Below are 20,280 nucleotides of genomic sequence, written 5' to 3' on the forward strand. Positions count from 1 at the left end.
AGGCAAATATGGTGGGGGATTGAGTCAATCTAGTCATAAATTGAGCTGGATTTGGATTTTGTTGTTTTTACCTTTAGTGCACCACAGGCTTTATACCCTCCAGCACTGGCTGTTGTTACCTTATGCTTATAGGGGGTCCTAGGGTGCTAGAAAATTTCTCTCCATTTTCTTGCTCCTCTCTCAACTTTCAGGAGTTCCTATATGCCTGTGCCACAAAAAGAGTCTCTCTCCGTGCCCTTATACCTCTCCAAGTAGTAGACTGCTCTTGCTTGTTACTTGGTACTAAGCTTACAGAATCAAGAGAGTTCTTTGTCATCCTGATCCAGCCTAAGTCTTAGGCAGGCCCTGTGCTCAAAGCTTGGGCGTCTCAGCATGCCTGCCTTCTCTTCCTATTTCTGCATCAGCTTCCTGGGTCAGTTAAACTCTGCCCTGTATTTGTGGTTGGTCTTGGCCATGAGAGTTTCTTACACTTCCTTTAGGGCAGGTGACCTCTACTTGGTTTTGGTGCAGAATTCTGGGCCCTCAAAAAGTTTCCTATTCCTTCCTCAAGGGCAAAGGATTTTCGTTTCTATACTTCCCCCAGCAGCAATAGGTCTTTGCCTTTGTCAGAGAGGTAAGAGGTCCTTCTGCCACTGCAGAAGCAACCAATTTTGCCTCCACTCCTCTCCCAAAGGAATGGAATTTTGCCTGACCCTGAGAGTGGAAAGATTTACCGTCCCTCTCCAGTGGCTTAAGGCTTTTGTTTCCTTTGAGAGAAGGGTCTTGGGAATTGGGTCGGCTTTTGTGTCTGTTTCCCAAAAGCAGCTGATCAGCTCTCCTTCTTCACACCTGCACCCCCAAGGGTGGGGCTCCCATTGAGTATCCTCTCCTGTTTCTATCTTTCTTATGAGTACCCATTGGAGGCCATGGAATAGAGTTTGGCACTGAGTGCAAACTTCCCTTGTATCTGGGGCTTCTAGTCATTCCAAATTAATGCATGAGGCCAGGGATGGTGGCTCATGCCTATAATTCCAGCATTTTGGGAGGGCGAAGTGGGAGCCCAGGAGCTCAAGACTAGCCTAGACAACATAGTGAGACCTTGTCTCTACAAAAAAATTATTAGCCATGTGTGGTGGCGCACACCTGTGGTGCCACTACTCAAGAGGCTGAGGTGGGAGGATTGTTTGAGCCCACGAGGTCAAGGCTGCAGTGAGCCGTGATTGTGCCACTGACTCCAGCCTAGGTGACAGAGCCAAGATCCTGTCTCAAAAACAAGAAAAAACCAACACTCCCCCCGAAAAAGCCCACCACCACAACAAATTAGCATACTAGATCACACTTGGCCTGGAAGAATTGTTAATATTTTAGCTAATTTTTTCCTACCTGTTTTTATGGCAGTAACCTCTTTCTCTCATGATTTATCAAAAGTGAAAAAGTTTATGTGTCCTCAGTGGACTTCGGGGACTCAGGGGGAAAGGGTGGGAAGGAGGTGAGGGATGAAATCCTACAAATTGGGTGCAGTGTATACTGCTCAGGTGATGCATGCACCAAAATCTTACGAATCACCACTAAAGAACTTACTCATGTAACCAAAAACCACCTGTTCCCCAATAACATATGGAAATTAAACAAAATTAATTTAAAAAAAAAGAGTTTATATGTCCCACCTCTCTTTGGAGTAGCTTGTCACTCTTTGGAATTTAGTTTGCCTGGTTGCCTTACGATCTTAGTTCTGTGACAGGCTCAAGAAAGGTCATGATTTTATAGATTTTCTGGCTTTTTTTGTGTTGTTATAGTGAGAGTTGTATTCCCTTGAGGCTTTCTGCATTCTAAGTGGAAACAGAACTCTCTCCTATAGCTTCGTCACCAAAAGGATGCTTCAATTAGGAAAAGCCCCCAGATAAGAATCTGATTGGCCTAGTCACACTTGGCCTTCATCACATGCTCTTTCCCGCACCAATCAGTTCTCACAGAGGATGGTCCTATGATTGGCCTGACCTGGGATGGGGGCAGGAGATTTGGGATGTCTTACCAGAGGAAGGGGCTAAAAAAAATGTCTAATAAACAAAAATAGTCACCTAATGGTATAAATACAGATGTTTTATAAAACTATTTTTTAATGAAAAAAGCAACATATGTACATGGCAAAAAATTCAAACAGTATAAAAGGAGCCTACAGTGAGAAACAATTCTTCCTCCCAAATCATACTCCAGTCATCATCCTCAGAGGCAACCATTGTTAGTTTCTGGAATATCTAACCAGAAAGCATCTCTGCATGTACAACACACACACATGCAAACACATACCTCTACTTGAAATAGATGCTTTCTTAATCAAACCTCCACTTAATTCGTAGGATTCACCAACACTCTTCACTTTCTCTGTAAAACACACAATGAATAACTATGGTATCCATACATCTTTCTACCAGGTGAGTATGTTGGCTAGGTGTGGTGGCTCACACCTGTATTCCAACCACTTTGGGAGGCCAAGATGGGTAATTGCTTGAGCTCAGGAGTTCAAGACCAGCCAGGGCAACATGATGAAACCCTGTCTGTACAAAAAATACAAAAATTAGCCAGGCATGGTGACACATGCCTATAGTCTCAGCTACTCAGGAGACTGAGGTGGGAGGATCATCTGAGTCTGGGAGGTCGACGTTGCAGTGCGCTGTGATCTTGCCACCGCACTCCAGCCTGAGTGACAGAGTGAGACCCTGTCTCAAAAAAAAAAAAAAAAAAAAGTCAGTGTGTTTATTCTAAGCCCATTATGCCAACTGTGTTTATTATGATATTTAAGTAATTCAATGAAATGTAACACAAACTGATGAAAATGAGTGCAAAAGAAACCATTGTTTGTACGAAATGTTTTGGAAAGACTTGCTAAAGGTGAGTTCTTTCAAAAAGTGTATGAAATTAGCTGTGGAAGAAACAACTACAAATTATTTGGGGAAAAACTGAAAAATCAAGAAGTTTATGTTGATATTACTTTAAGGGTGTTTAAGTCTCCATTCTACTTGGAAAATCACAAATAATATTATTAAAATTAGAGTGTTACTTTAAATGGAAAGCTTAGGGCCAGCCACAGTGGCTCATGCCTGTAATCCCAACACTTTGGGAGGCTGAGATGGGCGGATCACCTGAGGTCAGGAGTTCGAGACCAGTCTGGTCAACATGGCGAAATCCCGTCACTACTAAAAATACAACCATTAGTCAGGCATTGTGGTGGGTGCCTGTAATCCCAGCTACTTGGGAGGCTGAGACAGGAGAATCACTTGAACCTGGGAGGTGGAGGCTGCAGTGAGCCTAGATTATGCCACTGCACTCCACCCTGGACGACAGAGTGAGACTCTATCTCAAAAAAAAAAAAAGCATAAAAATGCATTTTATGTGTTGTTTATGTAAGAAAGAGAATATGAAACTAATCAATAAATTCATACCCGAAGAAAAGGTTTTAAATTAAAATTAAATTGTTACATTCAAAAATGTATCATTTTAAAGGATTTCCTGGGGTTGCTTTTACTAACTTTTTGATTAACCAACCAACTGATTGTCTTTACTTCATTAGATAAAAGGATGTCTACTCTGTGTGTATGTATGTTTGTACGTATGAAAAAGGAAATGAAGAGTACTAGTGTGTGAGAGTGTATGTGTGTCCACACATGCGCATGCATGCTCGCTAATGTTAGTGCTCAGCAGTCAGGAAATATGTCTCTAATGAAATGATATCTGATGAGAAACCTGAAGGAAGTGAGTCATCCATGCAAATATCTGAGAGAAGAGCATTCCGGGCAAAGAGAAGGAGTGCAAACATCTGATATATACACGTGATGGTGGGCAACTAGAAAACTATGTAACTGACTGATTAAAAATTGAATTAGATGATGTGAAAGTTTCTCCAAGATACATTACACTGTATTATGCTATACAGTATAATAAAATCAAGGCATATGTTATGTTTGTATTGAACTTGGACTTTAGAACTTCATGTCCTATATAACTGTACAAAATATATAAATAAAAACTATTAGGAATACAAAACAAAATGTCAAGAAACAAACGGTGTAATAGAAATTGCAATTCAACACCATCAGTTAGTAACATTAAGCAGACAGTGTTCTAGTACATTTGTGCTGCTATAGTAGAATATCTTAGACTGGATGGCTTATAAATAACAGAAATTTATTTCTTGTAGTTCTGGAGGATGGGAAGTCCAAAATCAAAGCACTGGCAGATCTGGTGTCTTGAGAAGGACAATTCTTGGTTCATAAATGGCTGTCTTTTCACTGTGTCCTCACCTGACAGCAGACATGAGGGTGACCTCAGGAGTCTCTTTATATGGACACTAATCTCATTTATGAGGGCTCTGCACTCAGACTTAATCACCTACCAAAGGCCTTACCTCCTAATAACATCACACTGGGGGTGACGATTTCAACATATGAATTTTGTGGAGACATTAACATTCAGTCTATACAAGATAAAAATAAATTGGGTTTGAGAATTTGGATAAAATAAATATAAGTAAACTAATGAGAATATAATTTGTACCCTAATATGTATTTTATAATTTTTATTAATAATAAATTTATTTACAAATAATTATACATTTCTCTGATCTCTTTTTAGAGTTACACTTCTTATTTCTATTTTGCATCTTGCAATATTGACTAGAACTTTCAGATCTATATTAAAATGTAGACTAAAAGTTATTTAAGCCCTAAATTATTTGACCACTGTCTATCACTCTATTTCATATTGTACTAATATTCCCTTCTGCCACAGATCACAGCAGTATTATTTATGACAAATTAAGGGGATGAAATGATATTAACCTTGGTAATATTGATACAGATGATAGAAATTATGTAGGCAGATTGTAAGGGCAACAGAATCCTCAGCAGAATTTCCCTTTTAACGAAAAGCAGCCCCCAAATCATTTCTTTTCTAATAAAGAGCAGCCTGAAAAATTGAGCTGCAGACATAGATAAGCAAGCTGGAAACCTGCACAGGTGAATGCTGGCTACCTGAGGGCCAGGCATGTTCAACTTGGAGGCTCTATCTTCCCTTTTCTTTGTCACCACATGTACAGTAAAAAAGCAGGCAACATGGTGCCAGCCAGGTAGATAACCCCTCTGCATAATAAAAGACTAGTGTGGGGAGGCCAGCTTCTTCAAGCGCTATGCAAACGGCACACCTAGCCCTGACCAGTTCTTCACGCACTATGCAAATGACACACCTGGTCTGACCAATCTTTCGTGCCCTATGTAAATCAGACACCGCCTCCTTAAGCTCATCTATAAAACCTCCTGCCCTTCACCGCAGACCAGAAGACCTGCTTGGGACCCCCCCATCTCTGCAGGAGAGAGCTTTTCTCTTTCTTTTGCCTATTAAACTTCCACTCTTAACCTTACTCTGGTGTGTCTGCATCCTAGTTTTCTATAGCTGTGAGACAATGAATCGCGGGTATTTATCCCAGACAAGGATACCACTTCAGTATCAATGTAGCTGGCCAAAGTTGGGATGTGGAGGGGAAGAGAAAATGGAGGAAATATAGAAAGTAAAACTAGGGTTAGAAGTAAGAATCTATAAAAGTTTTTTTTTAAAAGAAGGAACAGCGGGGGTAGGGAGGGGGCTCAAGACATACACTTTTAATTTTCTGTGCTCTGTCGCATTTTAAAAAATTTGTAAATCATATTCCTGTGTTACTGTGATAATTTTTAAAGAAATAAAAGTAAAGGAAAATATTGAAACCCTGAAAGAAACCCTACTTTGTCATAGTGAGTAATTCTATTAATTTGTGGGTGTATTTGTTATTCTAGCATTTTATTTAGAATTTTCACATCTTTCTTTTTCTTTTTCTTTCTTTTCTTTTTTTTCTTTCGAGACAGCCTCACTCTGTTGCCCAGGCTGGAGTGCAGTGGTGCCATCTCGGCTCACTGCAACCTCCCTCTCCTGGGTTCAAGCAATTCTCGTGCCTCAGCCTCCTAAGTAGCTGACATTACAGGCTCGTACCACTACCCCCGGCTAATTTTTGTATTCTTTTTTTTTTTTTTTTTGAGACGGAGTCTCGCTCTGTCGCCCAGGCCGGACTGCGGACTGCAGTGGCGCAATCTCGGCTCACTGCAAGCTCCGCTTCCCGGGTTCACGCCATTCTTCTGCCTCAGCCTCCCGAGTAGCTGGGACTACAGGCGTCCGCCACCGCGCCCGGCTAATTTTTTGTATTTTTAGTAGAGACGGGGTTTCACCTTGTTAGCCAGGATGGTCTCGATCTCCTGACCTCATGATCCACCCGCCTCGGCCTCCCAAAGTGCTGGGATTACAGGCGTGAGCCACCGCGCCCGGCCTAATTTTTGTATTCTTAGTAGAGATAGGATTTCACCATGTTGGCCAGGCTGGTCTTGAACTCCTGACTTCAAGTGATCCATCTGCCTCAGTGTCCCAAAGTTCTGGGATTACAGACATGAGCCACCATGCCCCACCTAGAATTTTCATATCTATTTTCATCAATAAGTTTGGTTTGGCTAGTATTCTTTTTGTACGTGCTAACTCTAGTTTGGGTCTGAGGATTATGTTAGGCTTATTTAACAAAATGGGAAGTTTACCAATTTTTTTCAATACTCATTCATTAATTCATTTATTTACTTAGTCAATAAATCTTTATGTCATGTTAGGCATAATTTTAGGTTTGGGGGCCGCTATGATCTGAGTGTTTGTGTTTCTCCAAAATGTATAAGCTCAAACCTAATCCCCAATGTGAGGTTTTTTGAGGTGGGGCTTTTGGGAGGTGATGAGGTTATGAGGGTGGAGCCGTCATGAACTGGATTCGTGCCTGTGATAGTGTGAAGTATCTATTTGGTCTTCAACCCATTTTCTGCCATACAACTCCTAAAATCCTTCAAATCTCCAAAGTGATGTCTTTTCATATGCTAATGATTGACTGATGGCTGGCAGCCCCCAGGCAGTCTCAGGATGGAGGCTGGTCACCAGAAAGACCAAGGCAAGGTTAGAGGTTTGGGACTTTCACCCCATCCCTCCATTTCTAAGGAGGGGCTGAAGGTTAAGTTGATCACCAAGGTCCAGTGATTTAATCAACCTTGCCTACATAATGAAGCCTCCATAAAACCCCAAAAGGATAGGGTTTGGAGAGCTTCCCAATAGCTGAACACATAGAGGCTTACAGAAAAGTGAACAAGAACTCATCCACATGCCAGGAGGGTGGTGCACCTCAACTCCGCAAGGACAGAAGCTCCTGGGCTCAGGATCCTTCCAGACCTTCTATGTATCTCTTCTTCTGGCTGTTTGTATCCTTTAATATATCCTTTGTAATAAACCAGTAAACATAAGTGTTTCTCTGAACCCTTAATCAACTCAAAGATGAGGTTGTGGAAACCTCAGATTGAAACCAGTTGGTCAGATGTTCTGGAGGCCTAGACTTGGGACTGGTGGGAAGGAGGGGGTGGTCTTGTGGGACTGAGCCCTGAACCTGTGGTTTCTGAGGCTCTCTTCATCTAGATAAGGTCAGAACTGAATTGACTTGGAAGACACCCAGCTGATGTTTGCTGCAGAATTGATTGCTTGTGTGCTGTTGGGGTGGGGGAACCCCCACACATTTGGTCACAGAAGTCTGTGTTGATTGTTGTAGAGTGAGAGGATAGAACTCTTTCCCCCCGCCCCTCACAGTGCCCTTATAAAACAGGCTCAAGGGAGCTTATTCGCTCCTTCCACTATGTGAGGACACAGCAAAATGCCCTCTATGAAGCAGGGAATGGGGTCTCACCAGCCATCAAATCTACAGTTGTTTGACTTTAGACTTCTCAGCCTCTAGAACTGTGAGAGATAAATTTCTGTTGTTTATAAGCCACCCAGTCCATGATATTTTGTTACAGCAGCCTGGGTGGACTGAGACAGGCTACAGCAGTAAATAAGAAAGACGAGGTGCCTACATCCATGGAGTAGAGCTTTCATTCTTGTGGAGTCCTAACTAGGGAGAAGGAGTCAGGCTGCTAGGACCAGGGGAAAGCAAAAAGAAAAATCAGATAAGCTGTAAGTCTACCTTTGTTCATGGTCTAGGACACACAGCCCTCCCTGCACAAATAACTCACAGTCTTTCTGTGCCAGCTATCAGCAGACCCCTGGCTGATAGGAAAATGCAAGTTAGCTCCTGCAATACTGGCGCTATCAGAACTGCACGGAGCCGTCTCCAGCACAAGCACCATCGTATGAAATCCCCAGCAAGCCTTTGCCTTCTTGCAGTCAGCTCCTCTCTTGCTGACTTGCGCATTGCTCTCTTGCGATGTATTTTCTCTAACAGATCTGTCTTTCTTTACCTACAACTGTCTTGGTAAATTCTTTTTACTGCCTGTGCCACCAGCCCCAGATAGCACTATCTGCAACAATTCTGAATTGAGAGAGTCAGTAAATAAGGAGATAAATTAATATGTTTTTAAAAATCAGGCATAATAAATACTTGCCAGAAAATGAAAACAGTGATAACTGATGGTCTGAGGAGGTGGTATTTAGGCTGAGATTCAAACAATAAAAAAGGAGGTAAAAAACTCCTACTTCAAGTGCCATGCAAACTTTATATGTTGTACCACTGCTATAATCAGAAAAATAATTTCACTGAATTAAAGATCATGTATTCTGTGTATGAGCACACAATGAAATTATTTTCTTACATGGAAAGTAACACCCTTCTACACACACAAATAGTCTCTCTTTGGATGGGAGTATAAATTCTGTTGTTCATTAACCTAGTCAGTGTCTAGCAAACAATACACCCTATATTTCTTTCTTGTACAATTTTACTGAAAATCAAGTGACATAAGTAAAAAATCTATGGAGACAAAGTGTCTGCATCACCAGAGTTTTCCATGTGTGACCTGGAGGATCACTGTGTCATTCTGTTCTGCTCTTAGAGTGACACAGTGACTCCTCTTACTTTTAGGAGACTTCTCTTCTATTTTCCCTATGCAGAACATACCCTGTCACTACAAATATACTAGATAGACTTGCTCTAGTGAGAATTAACTTAATTTTAAATAATCACTTACAGTTTGGAACAGCTACCTTTGCTACTTACACAATATCATAATGAAACAAAAGGTTGCTGGAAACGCTGAAAGCAAAGTTCAGGCAATGAGTGATATCCTAGAAATAAATACTGAATTACCTGTATTACTCCTTAGTCCCAGATTTGGGGAGCACCCAGGGTTTAATTAAGATATTTGGAAGCCGTAAACATTAGAAGCAAGTTTCCTCTGTCCTTACCAAATGCAATTCAAAATAAGAAAAAAATTCCAAGCCATGAATTATATCTAAAGAAGTATAGTAAATTTTAGATGTTCCCCCCGATGACTATATTGAGATTTTAAAGAAACATTAAAAATAAAATAGTTTAAATTTTCTTGTTTTGGGTGATCCCATTTTGCTTGAGTTCTCAACATTGATTAAGGTCAATTCTGCCATTTGTCAACTGGATCTCATTCATTCACTTCTACTTTAGTACTTTCCTTCCATAATCACCTGCACTCCTCTCTACTGAATCATTTACATTAGTCAGAAAACTTGCTTAGTATTTGATATGGTTTGGCTCTGTGTCCCAACTCAAATCTTATCTCAACCTGTAATCCCCATGTGTCAAGGGAGAAAGGTGATTAGATCACGTGGGAGGTTCCCCCATGCTGTTCCGGGGATAGTGAGTGAGTTCTCACAAGATATGATGGTTTTATAAAGGGCTCTTCTCCCTTTGCACTCTCTCTTCTGCCACCTTGTGAAGAAGGTGACTGCTTCCCCTTCCACCATGATTGTAAGTTTCCTGAGACCTCCGCAGCCTTGCAGATCTATGTGTCAAATAAACCTCCTTTGTTTATAAATTACCCAGCCTCGGTAGTATCTTTGTAACAGTGTGAAAACAGACTAATATAGTATCTCATTTCTTAAAAGAAAACAAAAATCTTCCTGGACTCTATTCCCTTTTTATATAGCTCCTTGTTTATCTGTTCCCCATCAGAGCACTCAAAAATGTTATCTATATCCACTCCACAAAAGGTGAAACCACTTGTTCAAGGTTGCTAATGGCCTCCTTGTTGCCGAATCTAAGGGTCAATTCTCAGGACTTATTTTATTGCACCTCTCACCAAAATTCGATATAATTAGTCATGTCCTTCCCTTTTACTCCTTTTTTCACTTGGCTTCCATGACTCTGAAGTCTTCTGGTTTTCCTCCCATGGCACTGGTTATTCCATCTCAGTTTCCTATGTTAATCCATTTTGTTAGTTTCTAAACAGCTGTGTTTAAGTGCCTTAGCGTTCAGTCTGAGACCTCTTCTTTATCAACACTGATGGCATTAACAATCTGTTTTTTATCCACACTTTATTGGTGGGATGGCTTTTTAATCTTTTGGGTCTATGGATAGAATGGTATTTCAATATAATTGACTTCCTTTTTGTACCAGTCCGTTCTTGCACTGCTATAAAGAAATACCTAATCTGGGTAATTTATAAAAAAAAAAAAAGAGGTTTAATTGGCTCATGGTTCTGCAGGCTATACAGGAAGCATGACTGGGGAGGCTTGGACAGCTTCCCTCCCACATCTGGCACCCTGGCAGTGATGGCTGGAAAGCTGGGTTTATCTGGGACAATTGACTGAAATACCTATGGATCCTCTCCAGCCTGGTGATCTCAGAGAGGTAAGATTTCTTTTTTTTTTTTCTGAGACGGAGTCTCGCACTGTCACTCGGGCTTGAGAGTAATGATGCAATCTCGGCTCACTGCAACCTCCTGAATAGCTGGGATTACAGGTGCCTGCCACCATGCCCGGCTAATTTTTTGTATTTTTACTAGAGACAGGGTTTCACTATGTTGGCCAGGTTGATCTCGAACTCCTGACCTCGTGATCTGCCCGCCTTGGCCTCCCAAAGTGCTAGGATTATAGATGTGAGCCACCACGCCCAGCTGAGAGGTAAGATTTCTTATGTGGGAGCTCAGGGCACCCAGAGTGTTCCAAGAGGCCTGGGTAGAAACAGCAAGGCTTCTCATGGCCTAACCCTAGGTGTCCCAGATTGTCATTTTTACCCGTTTGTAGGTCAAGCAAGTCATTAAATCAACCCAGATTCAAGAGGAGGGAAATTAGACACCACCTCTCAAAGGGAAGGGAAACAAAGCTCTATGGCCATCTTTAATCTACCACAGATGCCTAATAGGTGTCTCATTTGTAACATGTCCAAACAAAACTCTCAATTTCCTCTCTATACCTGCTCCTTTCTGGTGATCACCCTCCCAGTAAATTGGACCGATTGCTCAGGCCCCAATTCTTGGAGTCATCCATGACTGTCCTCTTAGTTCCATACTCTACATTCTATTCATTAGCAAATCCTGTTGGCACCACCTTGAAAATACATCCTCAGTCTGACTGCTCACTCTCTCTACCTCTATTGCTATCACTCTAGTATGACCCACTATCGTTTTTTTCCTGGACTACTTTCATAGTTTCCCAACCGGATTATCAGCTACCACTCTTGACCTCATGACTCCTCCACACAACAGCCTCAGAGATCCATTTATTTATTTATTTTTGAGACAGGGTCTTGCTTTGTTGCCCAGGCTGGAGTACAGTGGTGTGATCACAGCTCACTGCAGCCTCAATCTCCCCAGGCTCAGGCAATCCTCCCACATCAGCCTCCTGAGTAGCTGGGACTACAGACACGTGCCACCAAACCCAGCTTATTTTTGTATTTTTTGTAGAGACAGGGTTTGTAGGTCTCTGGCCTAGAGCAGTGGTAATGAGGATTGAAGAGCCAAAGTGAATTCCAAAGCTATCCCAGTGATAGGGCAAATTATTTAAATAAGACCCTCTTTTCTGTGGGGAAAAGAGAGATCAGACTGTTACTGTGTCTATGTAGAAAGAAGTAGACATAAGAGACTCCATTTTGTTCTGTACTAAGAAAAATTCTTTTGCCTTGAGATGCTGTTAATCTGTAACCCTACCCCCAACCCTGTGCTTGCAGAGACATGTGCTGTGTCAACTCAAGGTTTAATGGATTTAGGGCTATGCAGAATGTGCTTTGTTAAACAAATGCTTGAAGGCAGCATGCTTGTTAAAAGTCATCACCACTCCCTACTCTCAAGTACCCAGGGACACAAAACACTGTGGAAGGCCACAGGGACCTCTGCCTAGGAAAGCCAGGTATTTTCCAAGGTTTCTCCCCATGTGATAGTCTGAAATATGGCCTCGTGGGAAGGGAAAGACCTGACCGTCCCCTAGCCTGACACCCATAAAGGGTCTGTGCTAGGAAGGATTAGTAAAAGAGGAAGGCCTCTTTGCAGTTGAGGTAAGAGGAAGGCATCTGTCTCCTGCTCATCCCTGGGCAATGGAATGTCTTGGTGTAAAACCCGATTGTATATTCCATCTACTGAGATAGGAGGAAACCGCCTTAGGGCTGCAGGTGAGACATGCTGGTGGCAATACTGCTCTTTAAGGCATTGAGATGTTTATGTATATGCACATCAAAAGCACAGCACTTTTTTCTTTGCCTTGTTTATGATGCAGAGACATTTGTTCACATGTTTTCCTGCTGACCTTCTCCCCACTATTACCCTATTGTCCTGCCACATCCCTCTCTCCAAGATGGTAGAGATAATGATCAATAAATAGTGAGGTAACTCAGAGACTGGTGCTGGCGCAGGTCCTCCGTATGCTGAGTGCCCATCCCCTGGGCCCACTTTCCTTTCTCTATACTTTGTCTCTGTGTCTCTTTTGTTTCTCAAGTCTCTCGTTCCACCTGACGAGAAACACCCACAGGTGTGGAGGGGCAGGCTACCCCTTCACTTTCCACTCTCACTTTCCAAATTCCAAAAATGCAAGAGTTTTAGGTACATTTACAAGCTGCCCTGTCATCCATTGCCCAGGCTGGTCTCAAATTCCTGGGCTCAAGTGAGTCACTCGCCTTCGTCTTCCAAGAGATCCTTTTAAATGTAAGTCAAATCATGTCATCAATGTGCTTATAATGTTCCAGTGGCTTCATATCTCAAAGTAGAATCCAAAATTCTTACGAGGACTTTCATAACTTAATAATATCTAAATCCTGGCCACTATTCTGACCTTATTTCCTACCTTTCTTCCCTTCATTCACTCCAGTCCAGCCCCACTGGCTTATCTGTTCTTCCTCAAAGAAGCCAAATGTGCTCTTCCACAAGGCCGTTGCACTTGGCACTTCTCACTACACGGAATGCCCCTTCCTTACATATTTGTGTGGCTTAATCCCCTATTTTATTGAGGTCTTTGTTCAAATGTCATTTATTTAGAGAAGCCCTGTTTATCACTGCAGCACCCATATTTACTCTTTTTTTTTTTTTTTTTTTTTTTGAGACAAGGTCTCCCTCTGTCTCCCAGGCTGGAGTGCAGTGGCATGATTATGGCTCACTGTAGCCTCGACCTGCTGGGCTTAAGCAAGCCTCCCACCGCAGCTTTCCAAGTAGCCAGGACAACAGGCACACGCCACCACGTCCAGCTAATTTTTAAAATGTTTATACAGACAGAGTCTCACCATGTTGCCCAGGCTGGTCTTGAAATCCTGAGCTCAAGTGATCCTCCCACCTTGGCCTCCAAAGGGGCTAGGATTACAGGTGTGAGCCACCACATCTGGGCCACATTTACTCTGTATCCCCTCTATCACACTATCCTATGCATTTATTTTTTTAATACCTGCCTGCTGCATTAGAATATAAGTTCCATGAAAGCAGAAACTTAGTCTTATTTGCTACTATTTCCCCATCCCTCAAAACAGTGCCTATCACATAATAGGTGTTCAATAAATGTTTGTTGAATAAATGAATAAATGTGTTTAGTCTACCTATTGGGTGCTTCAACACTAGGAGCCAAAAGAGAATGTTTACTAAAACCTTGGGGGTAATTTGGTTCACTGTGGAATAGCACCTTCACCAATATTAATCATGATGTGGTTCAATTGCAAATCAAAGGAATGCATACAGTTTTTGAATCTGCCTCTCATTCATTCTCTCTGCGGGATCTAATAATAGTCCCTCTTGGAATAGCTGTGAATTGCTGAACAATGCAAGTACTTTATTTTTATTCCTTCTTTAGAATATTAGGTTATTTCCTACCTCTTTCTTGCATGCACATTTTATAGCCTTCTGACAGGAATCAGTTCTACTGATAAATGTGTGTACCTAGCAAAGGCTAGTTAATGATATAAATCATAGAGTAAATCAAGACCCATGTACCAGATAAATTGGCCAAGGTGATGGAAGGGCATAAAAGTGAGAAGAGATTAGGAAAGGCACTGTAAGATAGGAGCTTATAAATGCTAGTGAATGTTTACCTTTTTTAGTTGGTCTTAAGTTAGGACGTAGCCTGCTTCCAATTGCACCACATAGGCTAAGTGGTCAATAAAATATCTCGAGTTAACATAAAAATATAAAGTTCTATCTTTCTTTTTTTTTTTTTTTGAGACAGAGTCTCATTTTGTCACCCAGGCTGGAGTGCAGTGGCACGATCTAGGCTCACTGCAACTGCTGCCTCCTGGTTTCAAGTGATTCACCTGCCTCAGCCTCCCAGTTTCAAGTGATTCTCCTGCCTCAGCTTCCCAAGTAGCTGAGATTACAGGCACGTGCCATCATGCCTGGCTAACGTTTATATTTTTGGTAGAGACAGGATTTCACCATGTTGGCCAGGCTGGTCTTGAGCTCCTGACCTGAACTGATCCACCCACCTCAGCCTCCCAAAGTGCTGGGATTATAGGCATGAGCCACCATGCCCAGCCTAAATTCTGCCTTTTTGGAATGCTAAGGTGCCATAGCTACAGGAGGGATGAAGGATGGAGGGATAAAGAATATGTACTAGTGTAGGAATAAGTGGAGCACTGGTGACAACTCTGAGAAAGTAAAAAAACAAACAGAAAAAGTTCTTGCAAAATTCTGCTACCTGCCTGGAGGGCAGTAAGAACATTTAGAAAGATATTGCTGCTGGCCGGGAGCAGTGGCTCACGCCTGTAATCCCAGCACTTTGGGAGGCTGAGGTGGGTGGATCATGAGGTCAGGAGATTGAGACCATTATGGCCAACATGATGAAACCCCGTCTCTACTAAAACACAAAAAATTAGCCAGGCATGGTGGTGTGCGCCTGTAGTCCCAGCTACTCGGGAGGCTGAGGCAGGGGAATCGCTTGAACCCGGGAGGTGGAGGTTGCAGTGAGCCGAGATCACACCACTGCACTCCAGCCTGGTGACAGAGCAAGACTCCATCTCAAAAAAAAAAAAAAAAAAAAAAAGGAAAGATATTGCTGCTAATCCAGATATGGATGCTGTGATGGCCAGAGCCTTGGCACTCAAAGTGAGATCTGTACACCAGCATGGGCATTGCCTGGGTGCTTATTAAAAATGTGGAATATCAGGCTCCACCCCAGACCCACTGAATTAGAATCTACATTTTGACAAGATTCCCAACTGATTCACATACACAATAAAGTTTGAGAGTCTCTGGCCTAGAGCAGTGGTAATGAGGATTGAGGAGCCAAAGTGAATTCTAAAGTTGTCTCAGTCTCAGTACTACGGCAAATTATTGAGATAAGACTTTCCTTTCTACTCTCACTTTCCAGGTTCCAAAAAGGAAGGGTTTAGGTCCACTTACTAGCCATTTGACCTTGGATAAATTATTAACTCCCCTATGCTTCATTAATATGGCTCTGTTGTCACTAAGGTATCCAAAAAACTCTAACTGCTGACTCTATGAATTATTTGTAATCCTCCTCCTCTTGCACTGCCCGGTCAAGTGGTCATACAGTTCATTTGAATTTTTATGTATTTGATCTACCCTATTGTAAAGTTAACAAATTACTGGGGAGTAAATACTAAGACTAATGATGGTTCCAACAGGGCCCCGCTTCTAGCTGTGAGGAATGAGACGTTTGCCTCCCTTGGAACAAAGCTCTATAAATAGGTAATCTAACTGGAAAATTGCTCAACAAATGTATTAATTATGCTTAATGCTTGCATATAGAATAAATTTGGTGGAAATCACTAATGTACCAAAGGAGTAGCATCCTAGGTCATATAAGAACTAGTTCCTCTTCCCTTAGCATAGTGGCTTCGAACAAGTAGAAAATCATCATCGCCATTATTTTTAACCCTTAGGATAACTTTCCAAAGGCCCATTCATCCTCAGTGTGGAAATGGTGAGACTAAAGGGCTGACAAAACTAAAAATAAACAGAGCAGATTTTAAACTTAATTGATGATGGCTTCCAAGGACTTTAAAAAACTCAGGTGTCTCAAGGAAAAAGCTTGTCCTCATTTCTTATCAATGGATGACTAATCATTTTGAACCATTTTTATTTTAACCATTTTCAACTCTCTTTATCTACAATTTGTCCCCACCTTATGCCTAGTTTAACACAACTGCCAGTGAATTCTAGGGAGGATAAAAACACTTTATGGCAAGCAAAAGCTGGAAGGCAGCACTTGAGAATGAATGGCAGATGAAGAAATTCTGAAAATCCTCTCCTCCATATAAGCAATGTGAACACTTTGCAAAAATTGTCAAAATTAACTTTTCTCAGAACTCTGGAAATTAACAAAAGATCTACAACTATCTGAGAAGCTTTTATTCAAGAAAAATGGTTGAGGCTGGGCACAGTGGCTCACACCTATAGTCCCAGTACTTTGGGAGGCCAAGGAGGGTGGATCACCTGAGGTCAGGAGTTTGAGACCAGCCTGACCAATATGGTGAAACCCCATCTCTACTAAAAATACAAAAATTAGCTGGGCATGATGGCGGGCACCTGTAACCCCAGCTACTTGGGAGGGTGAGGCAGGAGAATCGATTGAACCCGGGAGGCAGAGGTTGCAGTGAGCCAAGGTCATGCCATTGCACTCCAGCTTGGGTGACAGAGTGAGACTCCATCTCAAAAAAAAAAAAGAAAAGAAAAGAAAAAGAAAAAGAAAAATGGTTGCATCTAGGTAAAAACAGTGAGCTTTGTGGAATTTCCATGTGCCCTATTTCCATACTTTGAAGTAGATGGAAACAAAACTACAGTTTACCAAAATTCATGGTATATAGTTAAATCAGTGCAGAAAGAAGTTTATAGCTATAAACGCCTATATTTTAAAGAAGAAAAAATATCAAATGAATAAATTAAACTTCCACCTTAAAAAACTGGAGCAAAAGAGCAAGCTAAGCTCAGCATAAGCAGCAGTAGGAAAATAATAAAAATTAAAGTAGAAATAAATGAAATAGAAAAGAGAAAAACAATACAGAAAATCAATGTAACCAAAAGTTTGTTCTTTGAAAATATCAACAAGATAAATATTTAGTTAGACTGACCAAAAGAAAAAAAGAGAAGAATAAAATTACTAAAATCAGCAATGAAAGAGGAAACTTTATGACCAAATGGAAATAAAAGGAATTACAATGGGATACTACGACAACTGTTTGTCCACAAATTAGATAACTTCCGTGAAATGGATCGCTTCCTAGAAAGACACAAACTACTGAAACTGGTTCAAGAAGAAAGAGAATATCTGAATAGACCTATAATAAGTCAAGACATTGAAATAGTATTAAAAAAGAAATTTACCCAAAAGAAAAGCCCAAGCCCAGATGCCTTCCATATTGAATTCTACCAAGCATTTAAAAATAGAAGAATTAATACAAATTCTTCAAAAACTTTCTAAAAAATAGAAGAAAAGGGAACATTTCTCAACTATTCTATAAAGCTAGTATTACCCTGATACCAAAACTGAAGACATTGCAAGAAAATAAAATTATAGACCAACATCTCTTATAAATATAGGCGCAAAAATCTTCAATGAATATTAGCAAACTGAATCCAGCAACATATAAAAAGAATTATACAATATGACCAGGTGGGATTTGTTCCAGGAATGCAAGGTTGGTTTAGCTTCTGAAAATCAAGCAATATAATACACTGTATTAGTAGAATAAGAAACTGTATGATCATCTCAATAGACACAGAAAAATCTTGTGACAAAATTCAACACCCTTTTATGATAAAAACACTCAACAATTGAGGAATATAAGGGAACTTCCTCAACCTGATAAGGGGCATCTATGAAAAACGCATAGCCAACAACATAATTAATGGTGAAAGATTGAAAGCTTTCCCCCTTATAAGTGGGAACAGGTCAATGATGTCTGCTCTTACCACTTCTATTTACATTATACTGGAAGTTCTAGCTGGGGGCAATTGGGTAAGGAAAATAAATAAAAACACCCAGATTGGAAGGAGAGAAGTAAAAATACTTATATTTAAAGATAACATGATCTTATACACAGAAAATCTTAATGAATACACACACACACACACACACACACACACACACACACACACAAGCTATTGGAATAAGCAAGTCAGCAAGGCTGTAAGATACAAGATCAATATACAAAATTCAATTGTATTTCTATACATTTGCAATGAACAATCCAAAGGTAAAATTAAGAAGATAATTTAATTTACAATAACATCAAAGAGGCCAGGTGCAGTGGCTCATGCATGTAATCCCATTACTTTGGGAAGCCAAGGTGAGGAGATTGCTTGAGTCCAGGAGTTCAAGACCAGCCTAGGCAACACAGCAAGACCCATCCCTAAAAAAAATTAAAAAAAATTAGCCAAACACAGTGGTGCACACCTGTAGTGCCTGCTACTTGGCAGGCTAAGGCAGGAGAATCACTTGAGCCAGGGAAATTGAGGCTGCAGTGAGTCATGGTCACACCACTGCACTCCAGCCTTGGTGACAGAATGAGACTCTGCTCTCAAAAACAAAAACAAACAAAAGCATGCAACAGCATGAAAGAGAATAAAATACCTGGAAATAAATTTAAGAAAAGAACTTCAAGACCCGTACACTGAAAACTAGAAAGCATTGCTAACTGAAATTAAAGACATAAATATATGGGAAGCCATCCCATGTTCATGGGTCAGAAGGCTTATTAAGATGGTAATACCTGCCGGGTGTGGTGGCTCACACCTGTAATCCCAGCACATTGGGAGACTAAGGTGGGCAGATCATTTGAGGTCAAGAGTTTGAGACTAGCCTGGCCGACATTGTGAAACACCGTCTCTACTACAAATACAAAAATTAGCTGGGCATGGTGGTGGGTTCCTGTAGTCCCAGCTACTTGGGATGCTGAGGCAGGGGAATTGCTTGAACCTGGGAGGCAGAGGCTGCAGTGAGCTGAGATCGCACCACTGCACTCCAGCCTGGGCGACAGAGTGAGACTCTGTCTCAAAAAAAAAAAAGGTGGCAATAGCATCCAAATTGATCTACCGATTTAATGCAACCTCTATCAAAATCTCAGCTTTTCTTTTTCAGAAATTAACAAGCTGACCATGAAATTCACATTGAAACTCAAGAGACACAGATGGGCTGGGCATGGTGGCTCACGCCTGTAATCCCAGCACTTTGAGAGCCCAAGGCAGACTGATCACGAGGTCAGGGGTTCAAGACCAGACTGACCAACCCTGTCTCTACTAAAAATACAAAAATTAGCCGGTCATGGTGGCGCATGCCTGTAATTCTAGCTACTCAGGAGGCTGAGGCAGGAGAATCGCTTGAACCTGGGAGGCAGAGGTTGCGTGAGCTGAGATTGCACCACTGCACTCCAGTCTGGGTAAGAGCGAGACTCTGCCTTAGGAAAAAAAAAAAAAAAGACACAGAAAAATCAAAAACAATCTTGAAAAAGAACAAAGTTCTCACGCTTCCCAGTTTCAAAGTTACAAAGTTACTACAAATTGACAATAATCAAGACCATGTGGTACTGACATAAGGATAGACATGCAGATGAATGAATGAGAGTCCAGAAATAAATCTATACGTCTGTAGTCAATTTTTGACAATGATGTTGACATCATTCAATGTTCTCAGCACCATTGTCAAAAGAATCCTCTTTTCAATAAGTGGTGCTAGGACAACAGGATATTCACGTGCAAAAGAATGAAGATAGACGCCTATCTTACATGATATACAAAACTTAAATCAAACTGGATCAACGACTTAAATACAGGAGCTAAAACTGTACAATTCTTAGAAGAAAACATGGGCATAAACCTTGTGACCTGAGTTAGCCAGTGGTATGTTTGACATGATTCCAAAAAACAAGTGACAAAACAAAAAATAGATAAATCGGACCATCGAAATACAAAATTTTATGCTTTACTTTGGGAGGCCGAGGTGGGCGGATCACCTGAGGTTGGGAGTTCGAGACCAGCCTGACCAACATGGAGGAACCCTGTCTCTACTAAAGATACAAAATTAGCTGGGCGT

General features: G+C 41.2%; 2 annotated features.

Annotated features, from left to right (window-relative positions):
* Positions 4,852 to 5,371: an enhancer, noted in NCBI's record as "OCT4-NANOG hESC enhancer chr9:114630592-114631111 (GRCh37/hg19 assembly coordinates)". NCBI's record gives its function as "activates a minimal SCP1, AML or CMV promoter by ChIP-STARR-seq in primed H9 embryonic stem cells {active_cell/tissue: H9 hESC(primed)}" and the evidence as "EXISTENCE:reporter gene assay evidence [ECO:0000049][PMID:30033119]".
* Positions 11,355 to 12,205: an enhancer, noted in NCBI's record as "OCT4-NANOG-H3K27ac-H3K4me1 hESC enhancer chr9:114637095-114637945 (GRCh37/hg19 assembly coordinates)". NCBI's record gives its function as "activates a minimal SCP1, AML or CMV promoter by ChIP-STARR-seq in naive H9 embryonic stem cells {active_cell/tissue: H9 hESC(naive)}" and the evidence as "EXISTENCE:reporter gene assay evidence [ECO:0000049][PMID:30033119]".

The sequence above is a fragment of the Homo sapiens genome, chromosome 9 (assembly GCF_000001405.40).
Source record: "Homo sapiens chromosome 9, GRCh38.p14 Primary Assembly".
NCBI classification, from domain to species: Eukaryota; Metazoa; Chordata; class Mammalia; order Primates; family Hominidae; genus Homo; species Homo sapiens.